General features: G+C 39.6%; 2 annotated features.

Annotated features, from left to right (window-relative positions):
• Window positions 1484-2051: an enhancer, noted in NCBI's record as "OCT4-NANOG-H3K27ac hESC enhancer chrX:108426594-108427161 (GRCh37/hg19 assembly coordinates)". NCBI's record gives its function as "activates a minimal SCP1, AML or CMV promoter by ChIP-STARR-seq in naive H9 embryonic stem cells {active_cell/tissue: H9 hESC(naive)}" and the evidence as "EXISTENCE:reporter gene assay evidence [ECO:0000049][PMID:30033119]".
• Window positions 2619-3186: an enhancer, noted in NCBI's record as "OCT4-NANOG-H3K27ac hESC enhancer chrX:108427729-108428296 (GRCh37/hg19 assembly coordinates)". NCBI's record gives its function as "activates a minimal SCP1, AML or CMV promoter by ChIP-STARR-seq in naive H9 embryonic stem cells {active_cell/tissue: H9 hESC(naive)}" and the evidence as "EXISTENCE:reporter gene assay evidence [ECO:0000049][PMID:30033119]".

Below are 7796 nucleotides of genomic sequence, written 5' to 3' on the forward strand. Positions count from 1 at the left end.
CCCTGCTGATCATGTCCAATTAATCTCCCAAACCTCAATTCTTTACAAAACAACAACTCCTTTCCTTCCTAGGCATGGTTAGTGCGGTCAGAATTCTTACACAAGAGCCAGGACCACACCCTGTAGCCTTTCTGTCCAAATAACTTAACCTTACTGTTTTAGCCTAGCCCTCATGTCTGCGTGCAGCGGCTGCCACTGCTTTAATACTTTTAGAGACCCTAAAAATCACAAACTATGTTCAACTCACTCTCTACATTTCTCATAACTTCCAAAATCTATTTTCTTCCTCACACCTGATGCATATACTTTCTGCTCCCTGGCTCCTTCAGCTGTACTCACTCTTTGTTAAGTCCCACAATTACCATTGTTCCTGGCCCGGACTTCAATCCGGCCTCCCACATTATTCCTGATACCACACCTGACCCCCATGACTGTATCTCTCTGATCCACCTGACATTCACCCCATTTCCCCATATTTCCTTCTTTCCCATTCCTCACCCTGATCACGCTTGATTTATTGATGGCAGTTCCACCAGGCCTAATTGCCACACACCAGCAAAGGCAGACTATGCTATAGTACAAGCCACTAGCCCGCCTCTTAGAACCTCTCATTTCCTTTCCATCGTGGAAATCTATCCCCAAGGAAATAACTTCTCAGTGTTCCATCTGCTATTCTACTAATCCTCAGGGATTATTCAGGCCCCCTCCCTTCCCTACACATCAAGCTTGAGGATTTGCCCCCACCCAGGACTGGCAAATTAGCTTTACTTAACATGCCCCAAGTCAGATAACTAAAATACCTCTTAGTCTAGGTAGACACTTTCACTGGATAGGTAGATGCCTTTCCTACAGGGTCTGAGAAGGCCACCGTGGTCATTTCTTCCCTTCTGTCAGACATAATTCCTCGATTTGGCCTTCCCACCTCTATACAGTCCCATAGCAGACCGGCCTTTATTGGTGAAATCAGCCAAGCATTTTTTCAGGCTCTAAGTATTCAGTGAAACCTTTATATCCCTTACAGTCCTCAGTCTTCAGGAAAAGTAGAACAGACTAATAGTCTTTTAAAAACACACCTCACCAAGCTCAGCCACCAACTTAAAAAGGACTAGACAATACTTTTACCACTTTCCCTTCTCAGAATTCAGGCCTGTCCTCAGAATGCTACAGGGTACAGCCCATTTGAGCTCCTGTATAGATACTCCTTTTTATTAGGCCCCAGTCTCATTCCAGACACCAGACCAATTTGGACTGTGCTCCAAAAAACTTGTCATCCCTACTATCTTCTGTCTAGTCATACTCCTATTCACCGTTCTCAACTACTCATACATGCCCTGCTTTTGTTTACACTGCCGGTTTACACTGTTTCTCCAAGCCATCACAGCTGATATTGGTGCTATCCCCAAACTGCCACTCTTAACTCTTAAAGTAAATAATCTTTGCTGGCAGGACTATGCTGAACCTCCTTAGGCACTCTCTAATTAGATGTCCTAGGTCCTCCCAATTCTTAGACCTTTAACACCTGTTTTTCTCCTTCTCTTATTCCATTTAGTTTTTCAATTCATACAAAACCATATCCAGGCCATTACCAATAATTCTAAATGACAAATGTTTCTTCTAACAATCCCACAATATCACCCCTTACCACAAAATCTTCCTTCAGCTTAATCTCTCCCACTCTACATTCCCGTGCCGCCCCTAATCCTGCTTGAAGCAGCCCTGAGAAACACTGCCCATTCGCTCTCTCCATACCACCCCCAAAAATTTTCACCATCCCAACACTTCAACACTATTTTGTTTTATTTTTCTTATTAATATAAGAAGGCAGGAATGTCAGGCCTCTGAGCCCAAGCTAAGCCATCGCATCCCCGGTGACTAGCACATATACGCCCAGATGGCCTGAAGTAACTGAAGAATCACAAAAGAAGTGAAAATGCCCTGCCCCACCTTAACTGATGACATTCCACCACAAAAGAAATGAAAATGGCCCGTCCTTGCCTTAAGTGATGACATTACCTTGTAAAAGTCCTTTTCCTGGCTCATCCTGGCTCAAAAATCTCCCCTACTGAGCACCTTGTGACCCCCACTCCTGCCCGCCAGAGAACAACCCCCCTTTGACTGTAATTGTCCTTTACCTACCCAAATCCTATAAAACGGCCCCACCCCTATCTCCCTTTGCTGACTCTCTTTTCGGACTCAGCCCGCCTGCACCCAGGTGATTAAAAGCTTTATTTCTCACACAAAGCCTGTTTGGTGGTCTCTTCACACAGACGTCCATGAAAATGAGTATCTATTACTTAATTTCACTTTAAGGTTTCAAGTTACCAAAAATATTTTTGAAACTTTGAAGAGTTTATCTATAAACATCTATAGCTATTTTACTTGTTTTTAATAACTATGTTTAAACTATTCATGAAAGTTCTATGAGACATTAAACAAAACTAGTTTTTATCTCATGTTATTTCCCCGTTAACCATTTTTGCAGCATGTGAATGTTAGACATTCTTTCAATCACCTATTCCATTGCCCCAAGAAATTGCTAGCTAGGAAACCCTGAATTTGTACTTTCAAAGGGATGCCTTCCCAGATGAAACAAGTTAAATAATTTGTAGAACTCAGATCTAAACACTGTTATTTGCCAAAAGAAAAAGAAAGGCATATGTAAAGGTCAAATTAAGACAAGATGATCAGAGAAGTACCTTAAACAAAGGTAAGGTTTGTTATGTGAACTTTAAGTCCAATATCTTTACTATTGTAAAAGTTTCTAGTGGTTTAGGTGCAAAGAGGGAAATACCCTTACAAATGGAGATTTCCCATACAGATGTAAATTTCTTTTACAAAGAGTTTCAAAGTAGCTACCTAATTGTCTGGAAGTTGTCTTTTGGAGACCATTTAATTTGATAGGCAGTCTTTTCAACTTTTCTTGTTTCTTAGCTAGACTTCAACTTGAAGCTCATTAATGAGTAGGCCAAAGAAAAACTGGTAGAAACTTACTGGAGCTTCCCCCAGAGGACCTTTGGTCCTGGTGGTTAACATAAAGATTATCAGAAGGTGGGCAGCCTCTTTTAGGGGCTTTCCTCAAAATCTCTGGGGACAATGCCTCTTTCAGTGTCCTAGTTGTTTCTAGGAATGGCAACAATTTTTTGGAAACTGGTGTTTTAGGGGTCATTAATTGGAAAAGTGCCCTGGGGCAGGCCTAAAAGTTATTCTAGGTTGTTGGTTGCCATGAACTGAAACACTTTGGGAATGGCTTTCAAATGGTTATTTAAGATCTTTTGGATTTTGCCTGGGCCATAAATAGACCAAGTAGGGCTTGTCAGGTCCTTGCTATCATTCTCAAGAGAATAATATTCTGCCTCTTTTATCCACTTTTGGGCTTTCTCAGGTCCCACTAACATGTGTATTAGTTGGTATAGAGCAAGTATCATGGGTCATAAGTTATAATTAAGACCCTGAATCCTTTAGATAACTTTTGAAAGTCTTCCTTAATTTTAGGGTATTTTTAAATTATGGCCCTGAGCTCCATTTTTGTCTGGGGACTGTAAGTCACTTGGGGATTGTCTCCAATTTTGGGGTAATTCTAGTCTTATAAGAAAAATGTTTGTTTTTTTCAGAGAAGAAAGGAAATTCAGACAGAGAGTAGACTGTGAATATTCAGGAGTACACTGTGAATATTCAAGCAAAGTAGGATAAAGGGGAGTGGTAGGAGTCATGTCAGTTCTATCATCCTTCGTATGGTAAATACCTTGCATTTTTAGCTTTTTATTAGGTTTTTGCAATGAATCTTTTTTAAAAAACTATGTTAAAATTCTATTGTCTCTTTGAAGCTTCTGAATGCCAACAAGAATCCTGTTCTTTCTGTGTAATTTGGGAGGCTTGGGATTCAAGTGCTCTTCTTACAGACTTGTTCATCTGGAATGTTCCACATAATGGCCATGGTAATTCTTAATTATCTTTTGGAAGATTTTGCCAGTTTCATAAATATTTGTAGCTTCCAAGGCCAGAAATCTTATACACAAAAACAGGGGCAAGTCTAATGGAAGATGGAGTACTCAGATCTTTCAAAATTAAAAATCTCATTTTTATTTTGATCTCGGGTCTCTCAGACCCCAAATGACTTTAGATCTAAGATCTTCTTTACCAACTTCACCAATGATTTTCCAGTTTCTGTCTGAGCAGTCAGATATCTGAGGCCTCCCTTAAGTAAGCCTGCAAGAAAAAAGATCCCACATATCTGCAAATTCCAAAAGCCAGACTTTATGCCCCATACAGTAATAACCACTTACTGCAACTGCTGTCAGTTACCTTTAAAACTGCAGTCCTTTACTCTATCTGCAAATGGAGTGCAATCCAAATTTCTGTTTGGCCATATGCCAGCCGAAATTTGGGTGCAACCTACATTTCTGTCCAGCCATATTCTTACGAGCTTAACTCAAACCTTTTATGGAACCATACAGAAGACATCTCCAAAGAGACAGCAAAATATGCAGCCATTGCCAGTGACTTGTCAGCCACCACAAATCCAAAAGTCATGTGCCCTGCCACAGCACAAACTAATCCTAGGTATCACAAAATCAAATACTCTCTCACAGCACAAACTAGACTTAGTACACTCAAAGCTGAGTATATCAAAGAGCTCAAATGCAAAAGAGAGCAGAGCTCAGATCTGAGAGAAACTTACTCAAAACTCTTGGGGATCCAAGAGGAAGACAGAGTATGCCCTCCAGAAAATGGGTTTAGCAGTGCCTTTTCCTGTGTTCCTCAAGGGGTCTCAGGTCTTCAGCAGTCTCTTTCACATCCCTTCAGGGCCTCCGGATGGGTCAAAAGAAAAAATTACAACAAATTTCATTTAAAGATCTCAATTGGCTTTATTTATGATCTTAGAATTGGGTGACATTAATTCATAAAATAGAGTAAGTGTTCAAATAAGATGAAGAGAAGAAGTTTATAGATGGAGAAGGGCTGAAGAAAACAGAAGGAAAGAACAAGAGTAATAGTTATTTCAAAGATGCATTTCTTATAAGATGAGGACAGGGAGACAGAAGAGTAGAAAAATAACTGATTAGTTAACATTGATTACTTCAAGCTACCCTGTTTTTGGTAAGGATAAAAGGAGAGGGAACTTCATCATGATGCCAATTGAAGATTTAAACTGGCTTGTGTGTGAAACTGGCAGTTACCTCTTTCTCCTGATTTCTGGGAAAGTCAGATAACAACTTAGTTCGTGTTTGGTAATGTGGAACTTTAGCGTGGGTGACTCCATTTTGTTTTTAGTCTGGTCCGTTGGGGCATAGTGCAGAAGCTTAGTCCAAAACAATGGACTCCTATAATTTTTATCTGACAGTACCAATGAAGGGCTACACATGGTTTTGTATTATCTGTAAAAGTTGTTGCGAGTATCCAGGGCTAACTTATTATGCCTTTACTACATGCCAGACCCTGTGCTTGGCCCTTGCCTATACAAGATTTAATTTGATACTAGCCACAACATTAGAGAGTAGCATTTTTTGCCCTTAATTATGAATATGGATAGTGAAACTCTGAGAAATTAGATAGCTTGCCAGACTTCACAGTAAATCTAATATAAAACTGTCTGACTCTGATACCATCCTTTGTTTTTTTAACAAAACTATTGCTCCTTGGGCAACCTCTTATCTACCTATTTATCCTAATGTATGACTATTATTAATGAAAGAGAAAAGGCAGTAAGACAGAAATACTGACAGCCAGTTAGTAAGCTAGAGCTTTGTCCTGCTTAGAGCAGGAGCAAATGAGTCACTTATAAGCAGATGGGGCAGCCCCTTCACTACTCTTCCTGTGTCCTCCCATTCTGAGGCTCAATGTACCTCACAACCTGTCTGTCTGTTTTTCTTCTTTTGCAGTCTTAACACCCTACCTGCTCTGCAATCCCTAGGCTTTTCTCCTTTGTCTCCAGGTCACCCCACCCTCATTTACTTTACTTTCCTTTGAGTCCTACACACTACTACTACCACCTGCCCTCTTCACCATCCCTTGAATCCCTACCCCTACTTCTTTTAGTCCTGCTTTCTCTGTTCCTTTTTCTCCTGCTCATCTTTCAAGGCCCCATTAGGGCCCCATCATCGACTCTGCCCTTACAATGGCTCAGTGGTTTTGAGATGAAGTAAAACGTCACTAATTTGTTCTAATTGGGGGGAAAGGTCAGTCTGCCTTAAATGAAAAGTATGAGTGATAGGATATTTGGAGAGGAAAATGCAATCTCATTACTTTCAAGTACATAAAGTAATCCCAATGACTGAGACAAGAGGATAAAAGGCAAAGCTATACATCTCAGAGATCTGTAAGTGGTTTGACAAATAGACATGGCTCATTTATAATTAGGACATTCAGTTTGGGGATACAAATGCTGCTGCTGAGGTTTTCACACTGAAGTAGGCTAATATTTCTCTTGTGTACACAATAAGCTTGTGAAGAGAACTTTTTCATCATAGATATAGGTACAATCTCATTAGAAGGGTCCAGTATTTCAAACCCACTTTCTTATGTCACGTGGCCTAGAGGAAGAGTGCTTTGTTCAATCAATTTCCAGAAGGAGTAACGGTGAACAACACCAACAACAAATACTCATTTCTCTAATTTCTTTCTATGCAAGAGTTACTATTAATGAAAAAAATACCCTGTTGGGGTTACATTAGTTATGGGTGGGGATGCAGAGGTGTAGGGGAAAGAACTGAATGAACACAAGCTGGGCAGCATGTAGTCAAATGACCTTAGTTTGGAATCCATTAATTTGGAATTGGTGAAAATCAAGGAACCAGCCTACTTTATTTTTATACTCTAAGAAGCCAATTTGCCAAGCTAATTACAATGGTAAACAAATTTTTCCTGCAAAGATTTATAAAATTCTTTAAAATTTCCATGCATTGTTCAATACTTTAAAAGTACTCCCTTCATTTATTTATAATTGTTAAGCTAATTAGCTAAACTTCCTACCAGTATTTGAAAGCAGATCCCTGGAGGAAGTCCTATTAGGAAGCCCTTGGTTAGCCTGTTTCACCTTATTATGTATGAAAATTTTGAAAAAATACTTATTTTATTTTCAAATAGCTTATCATTAACATTTTCCACCAAATCAAACTAGTCTTCCCTCATTTTATCTTTCTTACAGCTCAGCAATATTTTTCCCTGGACAACTAAACAGCAATGGAAAGAGATAGCTGCTGTGTTCTACCAAGGTCTCTCTGAATCATTAGGAGGGCAGGATTGCTGAATTATCATGCATCCTGGCCCCCCAATCCCTGACAATGTGGAGACATGTGAGTAGTTGGTAAAAAGAAACACTGCATTATATTTTGGCTTGCATCTTAGAGGGCTTTTCAGGCACTCAGAATACAGATGTGCCTTATTATGAAACTATATGAATTTCTGGGGATTTTCTTCAGCTACAGGAAGAGTCAATTGATGTGAAACTACATTTCCTAAAAGCCACAAATTAGAGACTACTTCTTACAATTATTAGATTCTTCAGCTTTACCCCAAATGATTCATAGAAAGATTCCTTGACATTGTTCAGCAGGCCAAAGCTGGGGAGATAAGGGAACAGCTTTTATTTACAAACCATTAGAAGTACATTTAAAGGGAACTTTATTGGAAAGTCACTTGAAATGCTGAACAGGGTCATGAAGCTATTTCCAACAACTATTCTGAATTTTTATGCTTTTCAGCTCATACAAACACCATGCATGGGAAAGAACACAAGGATTCATTAGCAGAGTCTACTGAATGGGGTGAAGCTACTGGATTCAATAATAGTGATGCAT

The sequence above is a fragment of the Homo sapiens genome, chromosome X (assembly GCF_000001405.40).
Source record: "Homo sapiens chromosome X, GRCh38.p14 Primary Assembly".
In the NCBI taxonomy this organism is placed as follows: Eukaryota; Metazoa; Chordata; class Mammalia; order Primates; family Hominidae; genus Homo; species Homo sapiens.